The sequence below is a fragment of the Homo sapiens genome, chromosome 12, assembly GCF_000001405.40.
Source record: "Homo sapiens chromosome 12, GRCh38.p14 Primary Assembly".
Lineage (NCBI taxonomy): Eukaryota > Metazoa > Chordata > Mammalia > Primates > Hominidae > Homo > Homo sapiens.
In genome coordinates this window covers 11,843,145-11,868,462 of record NC_000012.12, presented here as the reverse complement: position 1 = coordinate 11,868,462, position 25,318 = coordinate 11,843,145, and the positions used below count along the sequence as shown (strand labels likewise).

General features: G+C 43.0%; 1 protein-coding gene across 13 annotated transcripts in view, besides 1 other annotated feature; it reads right to left on the bottom strand.

Moving 5' to 3' along the window:
- Positions 1–25,318, bottom strand: part of ETV6 (ETS variant transcription factor 6) — a 245,704-nt gene that overhangs the window by 26,915 nt on the left and 193,471 nt on the right. For 10 of the 13 annotated variants that reach the window (XM_047428502.1, NM_001413914.1, NM_001987.5 and 7 more), the window contains one exon: positions 14,902–15,036. The exons of 1 other annotated variant lie outside the window; for it this stretch is intronic. In XM_047428502.1, the coding sequence (XP_047284458.1) occupies positions 14,902–15,036 (135 nt within the window). Of the gene's footprint in view, positions 1–14,901; positions 15,037–21,351; positions 21,485–22,876; positions 23,610–25,318 lie in introns of those variants that run through there. 2 more of the 13 variants (XM_011520612.3, NM_001413918.1) reach the window with 2 other exon arrangements.
- Positions 12,726–13,302: an enhancer, noted in NCBI's record as "NANOG-H3K27ac-H3K4me1 hESC enhancer chr12:12008095-12008671 (GRCh37/hg19 assembly coordinates)". NCBI's record gives its function as "activates a minimal SCP1, AML or CMV promoter by ChIP-STARR-seq in primed H9 embryonic stem cells {active_cell/tissue: H9 hESC(primed)}" and the evidence as "EXISTENCE:reporter gene assay evidence [ECO:0000049][PMID:30033119]".

The following is a 25,318-nucleotide window of genomic DNA, read 5'->3' as shown; positions in this document are numbered from 1 at the left end:
TTGTCTCAAAAAAAAAAAAAAAAAGAAGAAAAAAGAAAAAAACCCCCAACCTTATGACACTCATGACACTCCTAACCAAGAGATACCACTAGTACCCCTATTTTACAGATGATAAAACTGAGGCGTAAAGAAGTTAAATAACTTACCCAAGGTCACACAGCCAGTTAGGAGATTATAGAACCAGACTCCAGTCAGATTCTAGAACCTGTGTACTCATGACAACATCTGTCACTGCAATATAGAAACTATGACACAAAGTCACACCAAAACCTGCTCTAAGCATGCACAGTGGCCCCAATTTACAGAATGACAATCTTACTGAACTTGAAAGAACTTTTGGGAGCACTTTGCTCCTGAGTGCTCAGAGACAGGCAGAAGTAAGGAAGAAGCAGGATGGATGGACACCTCTAACTCATCCCACTCAAAGTTGCAAGCTGGTGACATGTGAGCGAGGATAACATCAGAAGTGTACACAGCTCAGCAAGAGAAGTAGCTCTGAGGGCTGGGTCGGGGAATGGACCGGCACACACCTGGCTCCAGAAGTCCCTGCTAAGGTGCAGAAGGACAGAAATCTGCCCATAAAAATGGGGATTTCTACACGGCTCCACACCCAACTCAATGAACTCTCTCTGGCCACATCTGTTCCCAGGGCAGTCTCACCAAAAGGATGTGCATGCTTGCTGTCCTTGTTCTGGTCAAAGAATTGTCCACAGTTCTAAGTAAAGCAAGTCAAACATATCACCTTTGTCCATTAAGATAATATACATATATGAAGAACACATAAAGTGAATTCCGTAATTTGATAGGGTCAGTAAACAGAGACAGACATAGTGGTTTTAAGTTTTACACAGGGTTAAGAAGAAAATGCGGACTTTTTTCTTTTTTGAAAGTTCTACTAGATCTCATCTATCATATGATCACTGAACAAAAATATTGTTCACAATATTAAAAGATCATCTCCTTGAAGGCAAAGGGCTTATTTTGTGACTACTGTATAACCCACTGCCATAAATTCAAGTGCCTCATCATTGGAATAGCTATCAATAGAAGACTGATTTAATAAATTATAGTATATATCTCTAAAAAATGGAGTACTACGTAAAAGTAAAAAGGAATGAGGAGTATCTTGATATTTTGCTAAGGACTAGCATCAGAATCTATGGTTAGATACGAAAAGCAAGATGAAGTATTTATGATCTGCCACCACTTATCTAAACAAGGAAAGGGGCAATTTCAGTTCAACAATAGCAGAGTGGCGTGTACCAAACTAACCTTCTTACGGGTAGAAATGAAAGAAACCATATTAAATACATTGAAAAAACTATTTGAAGGTATCAAGGGCAGACAAAAACCGGAGAGGATTTCACTCTTGAAAGAAGGGAACTGCACAGAGTGAGGTCCATATTTAAACAGCTTTCCCCCTGATTCTGTTGATCTCCTAACTGCCCTATGCTGCATGTTCCTCCCCAGTCCGTGCAGCACAGGGGCAGTTAGAAGATAAACAGAAAGTTGCTTGAGATAGAGTAGGTAGCTGCCAGAATGGCAGAAAATTGAAGAAACAAATCCCATACAGTGGGAGCCACAGAGGGGAGAGTGATTAAATTGGCATGTAAAAGCTTCCTCAAATTCTTGTCTGATTACCGAATAGCCCAAGTGCCAGGGAGACCCTTTGGAGTTCAGTGAAAAGCAACAGTTGTATAATCAAAAGATCTAAGCGGAAACCTCAGCTACTGGCTACTGCAGTGGAGACAGAGTTCAGAGTTTGAGTCTCATCAAGTTCAAAGGCTCTGTAAACACTTCAGGCTGTTTGTTACCCCAGAATGGCCACAATGTAGGAGTAAAAACCCTAGGACAAGGGGATCTGCTAAGGGCAAAAGGCAAAATAGAAACAGATTGGACCTAATGAAACGTAAGACCATGCCTCTACAGATTCAAAGTAACTGGCCAGTAATTTGATTGCCTCCTAGAACAAAAGTCAATACTCTTCAGTGGAATAGAACACAATCCAGTGTCTCAATGTGCTCAGCATCCAGTCACAATTTTCTAGATATGAGAAGAAATACAAACATGTGACTCATAATAAGGAGGAAAGGCCATCAAAAGAAACAGAACCTGAGATAATGCAGATGTTGGAGTTAACACAAACAAACAGAAAAACTTTACAGCAGCTATTATAAATAAGTTCAAGCCCTAAAAGAAAATCATGGTTGTAATAAATGATGACACATACAGGCTGCCAAAAGGGAAATGGAATTAAAAAAAAAGGCAAAATAAAGATTCTATAACTGAAAAGTATAATATCTGAAATGAAAGACCGGACTAGATGGACTTAATAGCAGAACGGAGATGAGAGAAGAAAGGGTTAGAAAATTTGAAGACAGATCAGTAAAAATGAAATCCAAACAAAACAAATCCTCAGTGACCTGTGGAACAATATCACGTGGTCTAACACACATGTAATTGGTGTCCAAGAAGGAGAATATAGAAAAAAACAGAGTAGAATAAATTAAAAAATAATGGCTAGATTGTCCTCAAATTTGGTAACAACATTATCAACAACAGTAAATTCGAAGGTCCAAGAATCTCAAGTAAGATATGTAAAATAAAAACCACACCCAGGTACACCATAGTCAAACTGCTGAAAACCAAAAATAAAGAGAAAATCTTGAAAGCAACCAGAGGAAAAAAAGAAACTATGTACAGGGGGAGATTATACTAATATACTATATATGCATAGTATGATATATAGTATATATATACACACACACCATATATACTATATATGATTATAGTATATATGATATATAGTATATACTAATACTATATAAGTATATACTTACATAGTATATATAAGCCTACGCTAATATATATAATATATTATATATACGAATATACTAATTATGGCTGACTTCTTTAAAAAAACCTGAAGAGAGGGACTGCTCAAACACACACACAAGAAGGTTGCAGATGGGAACCTATAGGTTGAAAAAAACTTAAGAGATACGTTAACCATCTGCAATGTATAGATGTTGTTTGGATTCTGATCCAAACTGTAAAAAACATTTATGAGATGGTTGGCAAAAAGTGAACACTAGCAGATTATTTGATGATACCGAGGAACTACTAGTTTTCAAGTGATATGATGGTTCTATTATGATTTTATAGTCTTTTTTTGAGACCTATGTTGACACTATTTTTTTTTTTTTTTTTTTGAGACGGAGTCTCGCTCTTTCACCCAGGCTGGAGTGCAGTGGCGTGATCTCTGCTCACTGCAAGCTCCACCTCCCGGGTTCACGCCATTCTCCTGCCTCAGCCTCCTGAGTAGCTGGGACTACAGGTGCCCGCCACCATGCCTGGCTAATTTTTTGTAGTTTTAGTAAAGACAGGGTTTCACCATGTTAGCCAGGATGGTCTCGATCTCCTGACCTCATGATCCGCCCACCTCAGCCTCCCAAAGTGCTGGGATTACAGGCATGAGCCACCGCGCCCAGCCTGTTGATACTATTTACAAGGGAAATTATATATCTGAGATTTGCTGTAAAATAATCTGGGATGGTGAAGGAGAGAGGAGGTAGACCACAGAGGAAGACATGATTGGCCTTGAGTTGATCATCAAAACTGGTGATGGGTACATGGTGATTCATTACACAATTCTCTTTACTTTTGTATAGGTTTGATATTTCCTGTTATAAAAAGCTTTTTTTTTTTTAAAGTGCTTAATTAACCTTGCAAGGATATAGGTTGGAAAGACAAGCACTAACTTCCTCACTTTAACCCAAATGCATAGAAATGCTTACTGGGCACCAACTAAAATGATCTGTAATCTTTTGTAGACAAGGCAAACTTTCCTTTTATAGATAATATGGATGTCAATTCTGCTGCCCATAGAAATGTATTTATCTTTTGTCCCTGGTCCACTTTTCATTTGTCACAGAATATGATCACTGTAAACAACTATTGAAGACAGTTCCAGTTTGAACTTTCCTATATTTTCTTCTAAATGCCATTTACAGAATGTCTCTCTTTACTTAAAAGCTTATTAAGGCTTAAAAATACTTAAGGATGATGAAGACCATGTATTGAAAAATCCCATTTCCTGAATCCATTTCCCATCTTATAAATTTCAAAACGGTCACAGGCGTTGGTCAGTAATCTGGTTACCTGCAGGCTTTCTTTGATGTCCTGGGCTTCAAGGCTTAGTGTGTGGGTGTGCACTCAGGGCAGGCCTTAGGAAGTCTGGGAGGACCAGGAGAGGAAGAACTTTCATGCCAAGGGTAAAGGAGGAACTGATGTAATGTCCTGGAGAGATTTCACTCTCCGTTCCTGCCCAGACCTTGGGAACAATGCAGGAGGGTGATAGTGCTTTGGATAATCCAACTCAGATTTTACTTTGGACTCAGGATCCAGGCAGGAACAGGACTTGGAGGAGCTTGATTTATTTATTTCTCCACAGATATCACTCAAAGAGGAAGTACTTGATGAAGCTGATAACATTAACAGTAGAGAACTGGATCCGAGGGTATTTAATTCCAGGCTCCTGGTGGTCTGGGCACAACCACTGTCAAGGCTGAGAGGCCTGCAATGAGACCCTGCAAGCTTTGTTTCAGTCTGCAAAGCAGTGCCCATGTATGGAGTAGGCTATGACATTCTCAGCCTGCTGCCTGCCGCCTCTGTTATTATAAGTTGGCAGCAGGGCATGGAAACTTACGAGACCAGAGCCGGCAGGCAGAGAAGCTCCGGACACAGGAAATGCACTGAGCGGACAGTGGGTGCATTAAATCCCCCAGATGTAGGAGTCTTCTGTCTAAAACAAGAAGATTTTTTTGGTCTGGCCTTGATGTCTGGGTTTGTTCTTGGTGAGCTGCCCAGCTGGAAAACTGGGAAATTATCCACATTGCCCTCATTCTGAAGGTCTTGATATGGAAGGGAAATATACAAGGAAGAGGGAGGGAAAGCCAGACATAATTAGTCCATGTGGGCACAGAAGGAAGGGAGGAAGAAAGACCAAGGACTGGCAGGGAACCGTCATTCTGGTTGGAAGTGTTTTCTGATCCCAAACCTTTTTCCTTGTAGACCTCTGTCAGACACAAATAATCCCTTCTTCTCACTGCCAAACGGCCTAAAATAAACCAGGACTTTAAGTGGGGTAATTTTCTTTACAAAAAGGTCTGATTTCTTATCCTTTCCTCTTATTAGAAAAGTTTCTCTACTTACAATTCATAAAAATTTGACCCAATTTAACCATGCTATAAATAATAAATAACCAGTAAACCTAAACAAACAGACAAAAAACTGCCTTTAGTGAAAGTTTTGACCGATAAGTTTCCAGGGAGAGCAAAGGCTAAGATCAAGTTTGCATCTCACACACCAGGATCACATTTCCACCACCGTGCTTTCCCTAAGCCCACGGATGCTGGTCAGAGAAGAAGGTCACCAGGGAGACGCAAATCAACAGGCCCAGGAGGTAATGCTCACTCAAGCCTCAGTCCACTGGGTTTCACTTTCTCCCTCTCCCAGTCATTTTGTTAAAAATTAGTGGGAAGTATGAATGATACACAGAGCTAGACAGAAGTCATAAGCTCAAGGTCTTGAGGTGGAATTCAAACTATATTTCATATACCACTCCCGGTCTCTTATGCCCATTATGGGTTGACTATCTCTCCCCCAAAATTCATAAGTTGAAGTCCTAACCCCTAGTACCCTCAGGATGTGATCTTATTTGGAAAGACGGTCCTTGCAGATGTAATTAGTTAGGATGAGGTCATTTTAAACATCCAATATGACTGGTGTCTTTATAAAAAGTATACTCTGGACTTCCAGACATACACAGGGGAAGAATGCAGGTGAAGATGAAGGCAGAGACCTCCAAGGCAAGGAATGCCAAAGCTTGCCAGCAAACCACCAGAAACGAGAAGAGAGTCATGGAACAGATCCTACCTCACAGCTCTCTCAGAAGGAACCAACTCTGGCACACGTTGACCTTGGACTTCTAGCCCCCAGAAAAGTGAGATAATAAATATCTGTTGTTTAAGCCACCCCGTTTGGGGTACTTTGTTACAGCGGCCCTAGCTAACTAATACACCCCCTACTCCAGTTACCTGACGTTCAACCTTTGCTTGGTTTGGAGTCTTTCCACTAACTGTGTACCTGGCATTTCAGCCTATTCATCCCCACAATGTGCCAATGTCACCGAACTCCCTTGGAGGGCCTGAGAAGAAAACTGCCCTAGTTTGGAGTGGATGATTCACATATGTTTGAGGTTATCAACAATAAACCCTAGGTAAGCTCCTAGAATTTTATAAGCATTTGATGAAAGGGGCTAAACAAAACAAAATGGGTAACCTGTAGTACTCTGAGGCTTAATCTTCATTACTGCAGGCCTGGGCAGGACTGCTTTCAAACAGGCCACCTTTCCAGGGGATCAGTACAGAGAGTACATGCACATCTGCTGACACAGGAGGCCTCACAGTCCTCACAGTCGGGGCTGCAGACTGTCTTGCTCTTCACAGGCAGTATAGGGGAGTCTCCTTTGTCTCCATAAAGCAGCACAAAAGAAGTGAATTAAAAAATCAAAGGATTGGATTTCCAATAAGTCAATTAGGTCTGTTTGGGTAATCCTCTCAATCATGTATAAGGCCTGGGGTCACAGGTGGCACAGAGATAAGGCAGAGAGGCCCTGGAGTGGGGAAAAGAGCAAGATGACCCCTTAACTGAGGGCTTCCTTCTCTGGAGATGAAATCAAACTGCTCCCAGCCCCTTATCTCAAAGATCAGATGGCATTTCCCTAGGGGTAAAGGAAGTCTCTTGGAGACTTCCTGCCTGTCTTGTGAGAGTCATTCATGCATATTAGGGATCTCTTGCCCCTAAAACTTCTGGCTTAAGAGAGCACGCTAGCCCTAGGGCTAAAAGCAGCCTCCAGTTGGAGGACCCTGGTGCAGGCAGGAAGGGTGAGGGGTCCCTCCTGTAATAGGCCGAGGGCCCAGACAGATGCAAAGAGGGTCTCTGCACAATCCAGTCCCTACACTCCGTCACAAAACACATGCTGCAGCAGGGGCAAGGGTCAGAAGGTAAAAGGTCATGCTGCCCTAGGCCCTGAAATATAGGAAGCAAAGCAGGAACAAAGGTCCTGGAGAGGAAAGCAGGACTTGCAGAAGGCTGGAATGAGGCTGGGTCAGGGGAAAAAGGTGTTAAGTGGTGCTCGTGGGCCCTGCTCCCAGGGAGGGCAGGAAGTCAAGATCTTGACCTGTTTCTGATGGGACCTGTCGTTACCTGCTGCCAGATTCAAGAATCCCAGAACAGAAAGGGCTGCAAAAAGGTTAATCTTGTAGTTCTTAAAGGAGACAGCCAGAAGATTAATACAAAGGTTCCAAAGGGGTCATGGAGGACCCAGCGCTCGCCAGATACTGCAAGGGGACATAAAATGCAAGCAGTGCTTACTTCCAAACAGGCCGTGTTCTGAGAGTAATGAAGACTGGCACTTTAAATGTATTTTCCCACAGAAATCATAGTGCAGATGAATCCTCAAAGGTGTTCTTGGATAACAGTGAGGGAGGCAATGGCCCTTCCCTACGTATAAGGTGCACAAACCTGATGTTTGCACAAAGTGGATGTAGTTGCGATATTGAGAATGGTTAAGAAAAGTGGAAGGAAAAACCAACTGCACAACATTGTGAATAGACTTACCACTACTGAAGTACACCTAAAAATGGTTAAAATTGTAAATGTTGTGTATTTTATCCCAATTAAAAATTTACACAAACAGAGGGGGGGAAACAACCAAATAACAGCCAGAAATATTGAATCATGATAATGAATAACATTTACCGAATGCTTGGCTATTCTAAGGGCATTTTCCGTATTAACTCATTTCTTTCTTCTTTTGTTTTGTTTTTTTTTTTGAGACAGAGTCTCACTCTGTCGCCCAGGCTGGAGACTCATTTCTTTCTTATGTCAACCCTTTGAGATAGGTCCTGTCATTTTCCTTCTTTTACAGGTAGAGACCTGAGACCCAAGGCAGTTGCCTGAAGTCACACAGCCGGTAAACTGGGGAGCTGGGATTAGAACCCAGGTAGTCGGGGGATGTAGAGTGCACGCATATACGTGCCGGCATGCTCTCTGGCTCTGTCATGTATTCCGTGGTTAATATGTGTAACAAAGATGTCAAACCCCAGCCCACAGCCTCCTTGACCCTGCAGTCATCAACACGATTCCAGCAAGACTAGAGAATCGAGTGGGTTTACAACCAGTGACAGGATGTGACTTGAGCAGCTAAAGAATGCGTCTACCTGTTACCTACTAAGCCGCTGTAGAGAGGGGCCAGCTTTCAAGGCGTGACCTGCACTGAGGGGCTGGCTCCTCAGGGGGTAGGTGACAGCCAGTGTGTCTGCTCTCAGAAGCCGGTGCCTGGCTCAGAACCCACAGTTCTCACAGGCTGGGAGATTTTCGTGATGCTAAGACGGCCCATCCCAAGGGAGTTAATGATCTAGAAGGGTGAATTCGGTCCAACTCAGCATGAGTTTTTAATATTATGAACTAGACATACTTTGGAGTCCCAGAAGTCATCTTTGACATTGTTTAGTACAAATTTGGCAGTAATGTAAGCAGGACCTGCCACACACTGTAGCCCCAGTCAGCTGACCTGAAAACTGCTTTGGCGTTCTCATCTCCACTACTGCTACTCGTCTTTCAATCATGTGCTCTATTTTCAGGGCGCCTACACTACAAATATTTATGAAAATGTATTTTGGTCTCCTCATTCTGCGCAGTGGAATGAATGCAGGCACTGGCATCAACCCCACCTGGGTTTAAATCTCAGCGTTGCTACTTGATTTTGGGGCATGTTACTTTATTGCTCTTAATCTTTATTTCTTCATCTATAAAGTGGAGGTAATAATATCACCTTCTTTATAGGGTTGTGGTGAGGATTAAATGATTCAAAGATATAAGAGCTTAGAACAGGGCCGGCACACAACAAGGACCCAATAAATGTTAGCTATTATTTTGTTATTAAGAAGCAGATTCAGGCCGGGTGTGGTGGCTCATGCTTGTAATCCCAGCACTTTGGGAGGCCGAGGCGGGCGGATCACGAGGTCAGGAGATCGAGACCATCCTGGCTAACACGGCGAAACCCTGTCTCTACTAAAAATACAAAAAATTAGCCGGGCATGGTGGCGGATGCCTGTAGTCCCTGCTACTTGGGAGGCTGAGGCAGGAGAATGGAGTGAACCCAGGAGGTGGAGCTTGCAGTGAACCGAGATCGCACCACTGCACTCCAGCCTGGGCGACAGAGCAAGACTCCTTCTCAAAAAAAAAAAAAAAAAAAAAAAAAAAAAAAAAAAAAAAACCAGATTCATATACCTCATCTTCTTTAATTATCTCATTAAAATTGTATACAACTTCCTTCTGCCAAAGCAGTCTTTGGGCACTTGGGTTTGGTGGTGGGGCAGGAGGGGTACGATTCCCCTCAATAAAGCAATCATATAAATAAAACTTCTGTGGGCCATCGCAGAACACATGCCACCCTCTCCATCTTTCACAAAGAAATGACTTCTCTCAATTATTGAGCCATTCCCATGTGCTAGTTGTAAGAAAAATTGAGATCAATTGCACTTCGATGCTTGAAAGTTCTCCTCATCACTTGCGATTTCCATGTTTACCTTGTGATAAAGAGCTGTCCCAGAGCAGAACTGCCACCTTAAAACTGCATCCAGTGCTACAGAAACAATCTCAGCCCTGCATGTGTGAATATCTGCAAATTAAAGTGATTAAGAATCACTGCCCCATAATCTCTTTGATGGGGCAGAGGACAGGATGCAACTAAAGAGCTGAAATTATCAAGCTCCAAGGGGGTGATGGGATGAGAACGTTTGAGAAATCCGGATCTTGCTCCTTCTCCCTACAGACTGCATATCCAGTCCCATGGGGTGATTCTGTGGAGCTGGTCTCATTCAGAGACTTTAGCCCAGAAGGGAGGCTTATTTTATGTTTCCGTTGAGTTTTTGGGGGGCCAATATTCCAGTAGTTCTAACACTAGAGGACAAATGACAATTAAAAAAAAATATATATATATATTTAAGGGGATAAAACCCAAAATAAAAGAACCTAAGGTGTGAAAAGAAGTTATCATCACAACTGCACGTGACAAAATAAATTTATTTTATAGTCATTTACTGCTTTGATATTTCTAAAGATGCTTTGCCTCCTGGTTTTTGTGAAGGAAGTAATATCATTGTTTATTTTACCTCCTTTCTACATAACTACCTACCTGCATTCTAATTCATATTACAAAGATAAAATGAGTCACAACAGTCAAGGAAAAAGAATGTCCTTAAACTGAGCTTTTTATGATGAAATAAGTGAATGACGCTACTCTTGCTGCCACTCTCAGAGGGGCAACATTATCTGAAGTTCTGAATAAGGTGAGACAAATGAGGAAAGAAGAGATTTTCTCCCGCTTCTGAGCAACACCAGGCAGGACACTGCTATGATTTTCTAGATTTTAGATGCTCAAGACCCTGAGGGAAGGGAATATGTCTTATCTTCATATCACCCAGGAAGACTCAGGTTCCTTGGACGTAATGTGGGGATTTGAGAGCTGTAAGAGACTGCAGAAACCATTTAGCCTAACCCCCTTCTTATAACTGGGGAGACAGAGCCAGAGGAATGAGAAACTTAGCCCTTATGATCTGTTCTGGCAGAATGAAGGGTTAGGACCTGGTTTCCCGGTTTCCAGATCTCATCCTTTAAAATATACATACATACTCACACACACTCACCCCAGTTTGTTTGTCGAGGATGGTTCTGGTTCTGGTTTTGCCTGAATATTTGATATGTAGTCCTGGCTTACTTATTGCTGGAGCCCTGTGTCACTGTCATAAGTGTGTTGGTATGGGTGAAAAATTATAAGGTTAACCTAATTATATAAAATCACCCTCCCTTCCCATAACTAATAAGTAAGGAAAAAGAGTGAAAATGCTGGTTTTTCTAGAGGTAAGTGTAATCTGAGGACTGCTTTGCTCAAGCCATGATGTGATTTCAGAATGGAGTACATTATAGAGGTAACAAATGTTCACATATAGAGAGTTTGAATTAGCATGATGATCATCCTCGTCTACTGTCAGGGCATGGAGGTGAACCTCTGAGCTAACACCAACTTCCTAGCTTCTAGCACTGCCACGTGGCTACTAACGAAGGCATGATTTCAATGTAAGTTTCAATGTAAGAAAGTCATAGAGGATACATGTGGGGAACTGGTGCTAGATTGAGCAAGACACATTTGTACTGTGATATAAATGCCCATTGTGAAATTATGAATGTCTGAACTGGTTAAGTTTGTGGCCACGACGAGGTGAAATCACAAGGCGGTTGAATGATGCCTTCTGTTTGCACTTGACCGTGCATGCTTCATTGTGCCAGGCTGCTTAACAGCTGAGTTGGGCCTTGTTCTCTTTCCATTCTGTCATTCCTATCCACCTATCCACCTACTTACCTACCCACCTACCTACTTACCTATGCCAAGTTGGCAGCAACATGTGTCATCTTGGGTTAACATACTTTTATATGGAACTGTATTCCCAGTTATGTAAAATAAATCACTGGGGAAGTAATATTTGATATGTATAATTTCACTTGACAGATTTTTTTTTCAGAACCAGATCTTTCTGTATGTTAACATATGCCCACATCAATCATCTGTTATCCTTCATAATTAAATGGAACAGTATTGATTCTGGAAACAATTTATGTTGAGCTGGATTTTTTTCTTTTCAGTGGAGAAGAAGGGAGAGAGAGAGGAAGTAGCTGGAGGCAGGAAACTTGTACTGATCCATGCACCTCTCTACTTGTTCTCTTTGTCATCAAGGGCACCATATAGCTGAAAGGCAGGAGGATAGGGAGAGGGCCACCTCTTCATATCACTTCTGTGCCTTGGAAAGCTCTTCTCCCTGGATACCACCGGATAAAGACCTACACTTCTCTCCTTGTTGTGTGCACCTGTTCACTGGAGCACATGCGCCCGGACATGCTCTCAGACCTTGCTTCCTGGCCATGAGCTTTAAGGAATGGTCTCTGAAAATGCACTACTTTTAAGAGCTGGGTCTGAAGCAGAGCTAACTGGTCTGCAGGGCAATGACACCCTTGACCTCGGCCTCATTAGCTCCATCCTCTTACCTACTGAGCTCACAACCACCAACATCATAATACTTGAGAGAAAGCTCATTACAGCGTATGCGGTGGCACATCTGTATTTACTTGGTTTGCGAGCAGCTCTCAGAGTAAGCCAGCTTTCTCTATTGCTGAGCTCCTGCAAATGAGAACAACAAACACACCTACTGCTGAGTCAAATCAGGCCAAAGGGAAAAGAGGAAGGATCTGTGAGGAGGAGAGACCATAAGCCTCCAATCACACTCAGGAATAAAATGGGGCTAAATTCCAAATGAGATTAACAAAAAAAATAATGAGAGAAAGACTAAGAGACAGAAAGAAAACCCATCACATACCCTTTGTATCTGAAAGGCAGGCTAGGTAATATATTCCTTGCCTTAATGTCAAGCTTCAGTAAACCCACCTCCTCTTCTCTGGAGTGGCTGGTGGCTATTATGCAAGCCGGAAATGCACATGGCAGGAAGAGCAAAAGAATGAATAACTGAATTGGGGGAGGAGGGCAGCTGCTAAATTTAGCAAGGGTAGAGTGAGGGGAGGAAAGGATGAGAGGAAGGCAGGGAGCGTGCACGAAATGCTGTTCGTTCTCCATCACGGAAGCGAGGGGCCCTGCTGTGAAATGCTTGGCACAAGGAGGTGGTGTCATCGCCTGGAGTCAGGCTCTCTTTTGTGAAGTGTTAATTAGGAAAAACAAGAAACTTCTCATTTTTTGGTTTGCCAACAACAAAACAAAATTGTTAGCCCTGCTCTTGGGGATGAGCAATCATTTTAAGGAAATGCCCCAAGGGACCAGGGTTTGAGGTCCCTAGTAATCTGCACCTAAGGAAAAGTACACATGAAGAAACTGATGCACGTTTGGACGTCTGTGGTCTGACCAATCCGAGCAGGAGGATCATGACCCTCAGAGGCACGATCCATCACTGAGTGCTCAAGCTGTTCAACTGTTTAATGCAATGGTGCTCAAGTAAGGTTTCCTTTCGCTTTGGTTTGGTGTTTTTGAGACAGAGTCTCGCTCTGTCGCCCAGGCTGGAGTGCAGTGGCGCAATCTCAGCTCACTGCAATCTCCACCTCCCGGGTTCACTCCATTATCTTGCCTCAGCCTCCCAAGTAGCTGGGACTACAGGCGCCTGCCACCATGCCCGGCTAATTTTTTTTTTTTTTTTTGTATTTTTAGTAGAGACGGGGTTTCACCATGTTAGCCAGGACGGTCTTGATCTCCTGACCTCGTGATCCGCCCGCCTCGGCCTCTCAAAGTGCTGGGATTACAGGCGTGAGCCACCGCGCCTGGCCTCAAGTAAGGTTTTTATACTCTATTTCTGTGCCCCAACACCTATTCTGGAACTAGGTCCAGGGCCTAAATTAAATTCTGGTCTTTTGCTTTCTACCAATGATTAAGAGGAACAACTGGGACACTTGAAATAAACACCGCCACTGAGTGAACTCTAACCAGCCTCCTTTGGTGCCCTATGCAGAAAGCCCTGGCCCAACACTGAGTTCATAGATTTGGGTTTTTTTTTCTTTCCTTCTTCCAACTTTTATTACCCCTTGCTAAAAAACTCTCCAATGACTTCCCATTTCTTTCCTCCATATTCCAGAAATCAAAGTTCTCCACACTCTGGTTCCAAGCTAAGCTCCTTGGACTAGCTCTGCAATGACAAAATGCTGATCATTGTGAAGGCAAGGGTGATGGCTCAGAAGGGTTTATTTATTTTATTCTATTTGGAGTATGTTTGAAATTTTCTGTAATAAAAGAGTGGGAGAAGATAAGCTTTATAATCCAAGTCATCTAATTGCTCTCTATTTCAAAGCCTTACCCCACCCTTACGTCATTTTCTTTGCCTGGAATGTTCTTCACTTCATCCTTGCTTATCAGAATCCTGCTGGATTTCTAAGGCGGGGTCCCCAACCTCCAGGTCACTGACTGGTACCAGTCCATGGCCTGTTAGGAACTGGGCTGCACAGCAGGAGGTGAGCGGTGGGGGCAAGTGAGTGAAGCTTCATCTGTATCTAGAGCTGCTCCCCACTGCTCGTATTACCGCCTGAGTCCCACGTCCTGTCAGATCAGCAGCGGCATTAGATTCTCATAGAAGCACAAACGCTATCATGAACTGTGCATGCGCGGGATCTAGTTGCACACTCCTTACGGGAATCTAATGGCTGATGATCTGTCACTGTCTCCCATCACCCCCAGATGGGAACGTCTAGTTGCAGGAAAACAAGCTCAGGGCTCCCACTGATTCGACATTATGGTGGATTGTATAATTATTTCATTATGTATGATAATGTAATAATAGAAATGAAGTGCAGAATAAATGTAATGCACTTGAATCATCCCAAACCATCCCTCACCTCCACTGTTGGTGGAAAAACTGTCTTCCACAAAACTGGTCCCTGGTGCCAAAAAGGGTGGGGAGCACTGCTCTAAGGCATACTCCAGAGTTGCTTCCTTTATGAGAAGACCCTGCTTCCTGCACCTGGCTGTCATGGACCCTTCCACCACACCTTTACGGTGCCTACTATATGGTTACGCTTCTGTGCTTCTGTGTACATCCATCTCACTGCTTCGCTTTGATCGTGAGCTTCAGGGAACCAAGAGTGTATTTTGTACATAGTAAGCACTCAATAATTGTCTACTGAATGAAAAGTGAACTTACACGAAGAAGACCAGCTTATCAAGTTAACAATTAAACTTCCTGGATTTGTCTAAACCTCAGGCAAGAAAAGAGAAACCTCTTCCAGTACCTTCTTCATGGTTCTGATGCAGTATGACCTCCGGCTGTGTGTGTATAGAGTTTCCAGGGTGGAAGAATGGTGAAAAAAGAATCCGAGGTTTCCTCTGCTTCAGAATATGCTGAAGGAGTTCATAGAGCACATCACCTGGAAAGAAAAAGGAAAGGGAAATCGAGAAATGGAAAGATGTTTTTCCAACAACGATCTACGGAGCAGCAGCTAAGTGCCTGGCACGGTGCCAAAGATACAATTGGAGCGCACCTGCCACCTCCTACCCTCACCAAGCTCATGGGGCACAGAATGCAGCACTTGAAACTCAAAAGGTCAGAGCGATGTGAAGTTGTAAATCAAACTTTTTTGATTATGAAAATCGTATACTTTTTTTCTGAGACAGGGTTGCGCTCCGTTGCCAGTGCTGAAGTGCAGAGGCACGATCTCGGCTCACTACAACCTCCACCTCCCAGGCTCAAGTGATCCTCCCACCTCAGCCCTCCAAGTAGCTGGGACTACAGGTGCGAACCAACACACCCAGCTGATTTTTGTATTTTCAGTAGAGACAGGGTTTCACCATGCTGTTCAGGTTGGTCTCAAACTCCTGAGCTCAAGTGATCCACTCGCCTAGGCCTCCCAAAGTGCTGGGATTACAGGTGTAAGCTACCGTGCACGGCCCCAAAAATGTTTTAAAAAGGCAGAAAATCAGAAAGAAAACAAAACATGACCTAGAATCCCATCATCACTAAGATACAGAAGCCCTGTTAATACTATCTATAGTTCTATAGTTAGAAGCGGGCTTTTAATAGTTGAGTATCCTCTTTTCCCTCCACATTAGGTTTTGAACATTTTCCCACATTACTGAACTGCTTCAGTAGCTGCCGAACAATGGCAGGGAATTTAAACTATCCCAATTTATTGCTCTTATTTTTTGTGAGGATGTTCTTTTTACATCTATCTTAGCTTGCACTTCAGATTACTCGAAGAATTATGAAGTCATTAAGAACATTTGTAATGCTCCAATGACAACTCATAGATTCTTCACAGAAATTTTCCCTACAGAGAAAAATATGCCTTTTTAACCAATCTCAATCCTAGACGGGAAAAGAATAAACATGAAAAAAATTCACAAGTCCGGTTAGAGGTGGTAACTATTCAAGATACTCTATAAGGAACTGGCATGTTCTGGGATGCTTCCCTCCTTTAAAAATGCACACAGGCATTGCTCCAAGGTTCCACAATCTCTAGAAAATCATCTAGAGATGTCAGGCCATTGCCAGAGGATGGCAGGGGCTGGGTTGAGCAGGTGCCTTTCTGTTCTGATATATTTGGTATTTGAAGTGTCCACGAGTAATTAGCAAAAAATAAACAAACCCCAAAACCTGTCATGGTCTTGTCCCACCCCTTGACTTAGATCCAAGCTGAAAATGCAGGTGGGTGCCTCAAAACCCTTTGGGGGTGGGTGATAAATCTTTACAATATCACAGGCCTGTGACTGTCTCCTCACACCCTTCTCCACACACAGATATGCAGTCAGCAGTAATAACAAACAATGGGTCTTTGTCTCTAATTTTAGCGACTTTTTTTAAACAAACATTTTAATTACCAACTTAAATTCAAGGCATATTTTGGATTGAAGATATTGCTGTATTATTTTTTCTTTCAAGCTCAGCATGGACCTGAGAAACGTTCCATATTAATTTCTTTTTTTCTACAAACTCCTGCTCCTCTATCACTGACACTAAATAAAACTCCACGGATACCCTATTCTAAGGGATTCCTGAGGGAACCTTGTGTTTTTGCCTTGACTTTGTTCCTACCTCTACCTTTGAAATTTGGTTGCTGTTAGTATAACTTTCTGCCACTACTTAGTATCATGACTAAATAAAGCAAAATACCTCAAAGAGCTGCAGACACCATGTCACTTGGGCATTTTATTAAAAGGAGATGGGCAGGAAGATGCAGAGGTGTCCTGGACCAGACTTTTGAAACTGCTATGTATAAGGCAGAACCATGGCACACATGACTGCATTTGAGAGCTGAGAACGGCTTCGGAATTCATTGAATCCAAACCTAGTAGTCATGGTGATGTCTCTGATGAGGCGGGGATAAGAAGCCTGAAATACAGTCCTATTTTAATGATTCATATTTTAATCTCATACAAAAATAAGCCCCTAATCAACACTTTGTTTCTTTTGGTTTCGTGTAATGACTTCCTGAACTTTTGCTAATTTACAGGGCCTCACACTTGCTGGGTTTTATCTGGTTTTTTTGGTAGTATGCGGAATAGAAAAATGAAAACATTGAAAAATGTGTTCCTGATGATTACTATTACTAAAAAAAAAAAGGTCCAGTAATTAGTGTATCCATTTTGGAAGGGGAGGCCAGGAAATATAAATTTAGTGTCTGTGAGGGTGTTCAGCTTGGTTCACTTAACCAGGCGGGCTGGTGTGGTGGTGGGAGGTGCTGACTGCAGAGGTGGGCACGGCTGCCTCGGTGGGAGTCCCAACTCCTGTGCACCAGGTGACCTTGAACAAGTCCCTGAACTTCTCTGTAAAATGCAAATAATAACACCGACCTCCAGCATTTGCTATGAGGGTTAAAGGAGGGAAAGGTCAAGAAGCACCCAGAGTAGGGTTTGGTGCACACACTGCTCCCTGGACCCCTCTTGGTGGCTGCTTCTGGGCTTGGAGAAGCCCCCGGTGGGGTGGCTCAAACAAGGGCTGGAGAGCAGGCAGGTGACTTTTCCTTCTGTGTTTTCATGAGAGAGAAACTGAGGAAAGACAGCAGCATGGTGAAGAGGCCATGCTCTGGAGTCAGACTGGTGCCTCCTCGGGCATGCCCTTTAATGTCACTTGGCCTCAGTTTCCTCATCTATAAAATGGCAGTGTTGATGGCATCTACCTTGTGAGATCGTTGTAACGATTCAATAAGATGGTCTATGTAACAAGCTCATCATGGCGTGAGGCAAACAGGAAAAGCTCAGTAAACACTAGTCATTGATTTTACTACCACCACCACTACCACCACCACCACAAACACTCCCATCATTACTATTCCTGATATTATTATAGTGGCTTGGGACAGGTGTGTAGATCTCTAAGGAGGTCTCACATGGAGAATAGAGGAATATCTGGGTCACGGCCAGCTTTACGTTCCCCTTCCAGAAAGGGTAAAGAAGGTTAACTGAGGCCACTCTCCTAGTCTTGGGTTCTCTGGACGTCTCATCCTGACCTGGTGGGCTAAGCCTCTGGGGGTCTGACACGTGGTCTGCCGCACACCTCCCAGGCTTCTGCATGGGCTTGCTTCAGCCTCCCATACTGACGCTGGCCAAGGGAGCAGGGTCAGAGGGGTTCTTCCCGAGTGTGCAGGAGGAAGCAGGGGGAGGGGCGGGTCAAGTGGACTCGGCCAGTTTCCTACCTAGACCAGAAGCCTATTAGGAGACTAATAAGGTATTGGGAGTTATCTTAAATGCTATCCATGAGGCGGCTACGGGTGGGAACATGGACCCGAGGTCCTGGGTACTGGGTCACGAAAAAACTTAGTTCTAAGACCCAGGAGTGTGGCCTTAGCTGAGTCAGTCCATGCACAGACATGTTTCCTCAGCAACTAGGGGCTCCGTCAGGGAATGCGGCTGGCTCAGCAAAAACACATCACCACCATGCGGACGGGGACCACTTGCTGTGCGTGCACTGTGAGCATATGATTGGCAGCGATAGTGTGTCCCAGTAATAACTTGGAATATTAGATCTAGACAGGATTCTAGAGGTTTCCTAGATTGACTCAAACTTTGCTCACTAAGAGTCTCCCACCTCCCCTTCTCCCAGAAAGAAGTGGCTTTGGCTGGGTACTTCCAGTGATGGGTAGCCAGTCACGGCGCAAGCAAACCATTTTTGGACAGCTCTAGTTGATAGAAAGTTTCTCTGCTGAGGTGGAATCTGGCTTCCCCTGCAATCCCTGTACTTTGGTTCTTAGTTTTGGCTTGTGAAGTAACACAGAATATGTGTCTTGTCTATAGCAGGTTGCTAAGTAAATGAAGACAGCCCTCCATCTTCTTTCATTTCCAGTGTCCCTTCATTCCTCGACACCCAGCCTGCTCTCTTGATGTATTCTTCCAATTTTCATATATGGAGGAGATCACATCTAAAAGGTGTTACTAACAAAAGAATCTGGCTAGGTGCTGTGCGTCACACCTATAATCCCAGCACTTTGGGAGGCAGAGGCAGGAGGATCACTTGAGCCCAGGAGTTTGAGACCAGCCTGGGTAATATAGTGAGATCCCCATCTCTACAAAAAAAACAAAAATTAGTTGGGCGTGGTGATGCGTGCCCATTGTCCCGGCTACTCGGGAGGCTGAGCTGGGAGGATTGCTTGAGCCCAGGAGGTCGAGGCTGCAGTGAGCTGTGATCACATCACTGCACTCCAGCCTGCATGAGAGTGAGACCTTGTTTCAAACAAACAAACAAACAAACAACGCCAAAACAGTCTCTGGGATAAAGAATATATTTAAAAATGTTATATTTATTTGCCTACTGAAAATAAAGAGCATGCGCCACAGCACTGTATATCTAACTTAGCTAATGGCTGAAATTCAAAGGGCATTTTTCAGAAAATTCTTAACCCATTTGATTTTTAATAAATCTTCTCTCTCTTCCCAGAAAAGAAACACAGTGACTGGTACTAACTAGTATTTCTATTGTACTATTCAATGGAACTGAGCCCTACTGGTCAAAGAACCATGGTTTTCGTTGGTTCCTCCATCTATCTTCACGCATACATACACAGTTCATGTAAACACACGCATGTGCAGAGGCTGATGTACCATGAAGCTAGTGAGCTTCGGGGCCCTTCACTTGCGCAGGTCCCTGGGAAGAGTTCTAGAAAGATTCATATTGCCCAAACCGTAAGCCTCAGGCCCATAAAATCTAGATATACTCCTGGGTGCATGCACACGCGCGTGCGCACACACACGCACACACAGAAACAAAACACAGTTTTGCATTGGTGATCTTTACATGAAAAGCCAGGCACGTTCTTTGAGAATCCTAAATTCCATTATTGTATTGTAATGTGTTCCAAATGGACAGGAGAGAGCGAGTGAACAATACTGCTGTGACTTGGCTGATCAATCTTACTAATGTCTGAGGACCAAGAACATGCAAGATGCTGTTGAGGGGGGTTAAATTTATTTAAGTTACTTAATTTTAGAGGAAAGAATTTGGGCTCTGGAGCAAGGGAGTCCCAAGTTTGAATCTTGTTCCTCTCTTTGTCAGCTGTATGCCCTTAGGGAAGCTATTTTTCTTCTCCGAGCCATAGTTCAGGGCTTAGTTCAATATTTTTGTGTGTAAAATGAGAACTATGCCACAGACTTGGCAGGGCTGTTATAAGGATTAAATGAGATGATACGTGCAGAGCACCAGCCCCACGTCTGCCATCATAAACGCTCAATGGATGGTGTCTCTTGCAATTGTCATAAGCGTGAACAGACATGTCTCACAAAATCTGGCAAAAAATGTTCTTTGTTTCAGTACTTTTGTATTTAAAGCACATGCGTAAGTTTTACAAAGTCACATTCATATGGATGGAATTTTTTTCCCCAGTTGACATCATTTCATACAGACATTTCCAGTTTACAGTTAGCTCTTACTGTCCCCATTTGCAGTCGTATTGCCAACTTCTTCTATTGGGTTTCTTCCCTTTAGCTTTTAAGCAGTTTCAAGTTTTTTTCCTGTCCACATGTACATGCCCCTTGTCCCCATCCTCCCTGTTAGGAACTGCTCCTGTTTCTCTCCTCCCTTTATAGCCAAACTTCCCAGGGGAGCTGTCCAACACCATTCTCACCACTTCCTCACCTTCCATTCTGGTTCCCACTCCCACCCTTCTCCAATCTGCTTTTGCTCAGGTCACCTCCCTGTTGTCAAATCCAAAGGGCAATGGTTGGTACTCAGGGAACTGCCTGACTTCTCAACAACATTCTCACCAGCAATCTCTACTTCCCTTCTCTTAGAATACTCCATGGCTTCAGAGATTTCCACTTATCCTGGTTTTCCGCCTACTTCTCTGCTCTTCCTCCTTCTCCAGCCCTTCAGTAGTAAGGTTCCCCAGGTCTCTCACCTGCCCTTCTTCTTGGGCAACCTCATCTACTCCCATGGCTTCAATCGGCTCGTCTATGCTAAATCTACTCCAGCCTGGCACTTCTTCTGAACTCCAGAACCACATTCCGTGATCTCCTAAGTAATTCCTCCTGGAGGTCATATAGGCACCACACATTTGATGTGCCTAACACAAACATCTCTACAGATGAGATGGTGTTTCTTAGGTCAGCAAATGCTCAGATGATCAGACCAGAAACCTGGGAGTAATCGTTAAGGCCTCTCTTCCTTCTCATCTCACATGAAAGTGGTCACCAAGACCTGCAGACTCTGCCTTTTATCTGTTTCTGGAACCACCTCGTCTCTCAGTGGGCCTCACCTTAGTTAATGTCACAACTATTGCTCGTAGACTGCAGCCCAACAGATGCCCCGCCTCCACTTTTCACCGCCGCACCTTGCCATGCCGATCCTCTGCCTGTAGTCCCAGCTACTCGGGAGGCTGAGGCAGGAGAATGGCGTGAACCCGGAAGGTGGACCTTGCAGTGAGCCAAGATCGTGCCACTGCACTCCAGCCTGGGCGACAGAGCGAGACTCCATCTCAAAACAAAACAAAACAAACAAAAACAAACAAACAACAAAAAACAAATGGCTTCTACTTGTCTTCAAACAAACATGTAAAATCCTGAACATGACCTGCAGAGCCCTGCAAAATCTACTGAAAAAATAATCAGTGAGTGAGTGAATGAATGGCTGTGAGGCTACCGTGTATCCCATGATATTTACTCTCCCCAAGTTTGTTTAGCTAGTCCCACAGTGGGGGTGGTTGGGGAATTTCCAGTTTTTAACTACTATAAATAGAATTGTTAAGGGCATCTTTTTTTTTTTGCCCACTCTTGGATGGTTTCCTTCGGCTATTTGCTTAGGAATAGAATTATCAGTGAAAGTGTATGATTAGTTTAAACGTTCTTATTATACGCTACTTGTTCTCAGAAGGCTGGAATCAATGTTTCGCATCATCTGCAATGCTACCTAGAGCCTCTCCCAGGGGGTTTTGCAACTTTTAACTTCTCAAGTTTAGCAGGTTTAAAGTAGAACCCTAACATTGTTAAAATCTGCATTTTTCAGGTGATGATTTGCTATGTACATATCCTTACACGTAGATTATCTAAGTAACACATTCTTTAATTTGCAAACAGCTCTCTCTTCTCTTTGATTTTTATTCAGAGGCTTCAGATTCCCTCTGGCCATTTTTTTTTTTTTAAAGTAAGAGTATGCCTGGTGTGGGAGAGGTACTTTTTAGATATGTCAGAATGTTCTCTCTGTTGGGCCCTTTCTGCCTTTGATGGGTTCAGGATGAAGCCCTAAGCTTCGGTCCCTTAAGTTACATAATAAATTCAACAGTGAAAACACCAGTGCATAACATGCCCATTCCTGTAATGGGACTGCTTGGTTTTCTAACTCTGCTTGGTCCTAGTTTCTTTTTTCTTTTTTTTTTTTTTGAGACGGAGTCTCACTCTGTTGCCCAGGCTGGAGAGCAATGGCGTGATCTCGGCTCACTGCAACCTCCGCCTCCTGGGTTCAAGCGATTCTCCTGCCTCAGCCTCCTGAGTAGCTGGGAATACAGGTGCGTGCCACCACGCCCGGCTGATTTTTTGCATTTTTGGTAGAGATGAGGTTTCACCATATTAGCCAGGATGGTCTTGATCTCCTGACCCCGTGATCTGCCCGCCTTGGCCTCCTTAAGTGCTGGGATTACAGGTGTGAGCCACTGCACCCAGCCTGGTCCTAGTTTCTAAGCATTCCATTCAGTGCATTTTTGCAGGCCAATTGAATTAACCTTTTAATTTAATCTGGAGTGCCTTCTGTGACCACAAAAATAAATTAGTCTTTTACTTAGCAACAAATATTTGAAATTTGGTTTAATATTTATGTCTTATACACAGAGACCCTGAGAAAAAAGGAACAGGTTGTGGGAAAATTTAAGTATCATATTTAAGACAAGAATAAATCTGTTAGAAAACAGATACAGTAAGACAATTACAGCTGGATATGGACTATAAGGTGAGATAAACAAAATAAGCTCTCGAGAAAACAGAACTTTATGAAATAAGTATGTGTTTAAAGGAAGCACTGTGCAGTTGGTTTTCCCTACGTTACCATCACATCAACTTGTATAACCAATGTTTAGCGTCATCTGCAAGGCTACCTAGGTCTCTCCAACTTTTAACTTCTTAAGTTTAGTAAGTTTAAAGTAGAACCTTAACATTGCTAAAACTTGCATTTTTCAAGTATATGACAACAGGGTGGGTGCCCACCTCCATTTCACAAATGGGACAGGCAAAGAGCTAAGAAATAAAATGATGGCCGGGTGCAGTAGCTCACGCCTGTAATCCTAGCACTTTGGGAGGCCAAAGTGGGTAGATCATGAGGTCAAGAGATTGAGATCATCCTGGCCAACACGGTGAAACCTCATCTCTACTAAAATACAAAAATTAGCTGGGTGTTGTGGCGCACGCCTGTAGTCCCAGCTACTCAGGAGGCTGAGGCAGGAGAATTGCTTGAACCCTGGAGGCGGAGGTTGCAGTGAGCCGAGATCACGGCACTGCACTCCAGCCTGGCGACAGAGCGAGAATCCATCTAAAAAAAAAAAAGAAAAGAAATAAAATGACTTTCACGTAAGTGACCTATCGAAGCATTTCTCTGATGTGTGATACACTTTTTTTTTTTTTTTGGCTTGCTCAAAGACACAGTAAAGAAAGAGCCAACTCTGGTGTCTTCAGACAAGGGTCATGCCTGCTACAACTCCCACATTTCATGGCTACAATTTCCCTTCTGTGACCTATATCCTTGGATGCTCTGACTTAATTCTAAAATAGCCAGTTGACACAGCCCTTCAATCTGGCAAACCTACCATTGCTTAATAGAAATTAATAGGCCAATTTTGATTCAAGAAATACTATGTAAAGACCAGTATTTTCAGTTTAACTTTGAAAGAAAATTTTACTATATTTGAAAAATATAAGCAAAGCATATTTCCAAAGACAAAGGTTCTGGTGGGTTGGAAAGGGAAGAAACAATTTGCAAAATCACACTCTAGTATATGAAAAGACTGCAGATTTTAGTCTACTAAAATCCTCAATATATTTAGCAAATCCCCAATACAGTTTTGCTGAATTGAAGGAACTCTGAACATATGTTTCTTTCCCTTTTTTAGCATTGATAGCAAGTGAGTGTAACATGAATTAAATTGATAATAACTTGTGGGTTTCCTTGTTCGGAGAAAATAATGGGTACCTAAATCCATTCCACCTGAATGTCATGCAATGGATAACCCTAAGTAAGGGTTAATATAAATGCCAACCTGTCTGTTCCCTCCTGTCAATGTGTTTTCTCAGAGTCTCAAAGTAGTCAAGTACTCAAATACCTCTCTGAATTTAAATCACTTCAGAACCAGTTAATGTGATAACTATCTAGTAGCCCAAGGTCTTTGTAAAATTATTCTGTCCAGGTGACGTTTTATAAAATTGGGATCCCTTCCATTTATTCTTTAACTTTACAAATGTTATAAACTTGTCATCTGTTATATCCTCCAACTGGGAGACTATTCCAAAGAAAATATTCCATTTGTCTCCAACCTTGAAATCTTCTGGTTAGAGACCATATAATTATTTAAAGCACACTGCAAATGTTCCCTGCTTTATCCTAGGGGTTGAAAATGGAGGATTCTTGTCCTGGAAGTAGATGCGATAAATTTGTTAAGCTGGTCAAAGAATATGGCATTCAGGGAGTCTACTGTATTTGACTTAAGGTATAATCGTATTCCAGGTAATTATAACTCATTGAGTCCAGTGCTCTCCTCTCTACATTGGAGAGGAGTTGTGTTAAAGAATGTTGTTTCCATATATAGAGAGCATAGAAAGCTACATTGTTTGCTAGCAACTTAACACTGTTTCAGTGTTGAAGTTGGGCTGAACTGTTAAGAATGGAAGGGAGCTTAGGATCCATGTGGTGAGAACTGCATTTTGTGGATGAGGAAAATAAGGCCAAGTGAAGTGACGTGATTTGTGAAGGGCCAGGTGTAGAAAGAAGCCAGGCCTGAGGACTTTCACTACACCAAACTGCTAAAGGAGAAAGCCCATGTCAGAAGAAACAGTGGCAAATGTTACATCTGGAAAATAAAAAGGATTTTCAATCTAGATCTTGCCCCTGCCTAAGGAGGATGCCTGTGGCCTTCCCCCTCTTGCTGAGTGACCCCTTCATCAGATGGGTCTTCTCAACTCCAACTTAGTTGTCTTATAAACCCATTCGCAATACTCCTGTGTTCTGTGGTAAGTTTTCCTACAGGC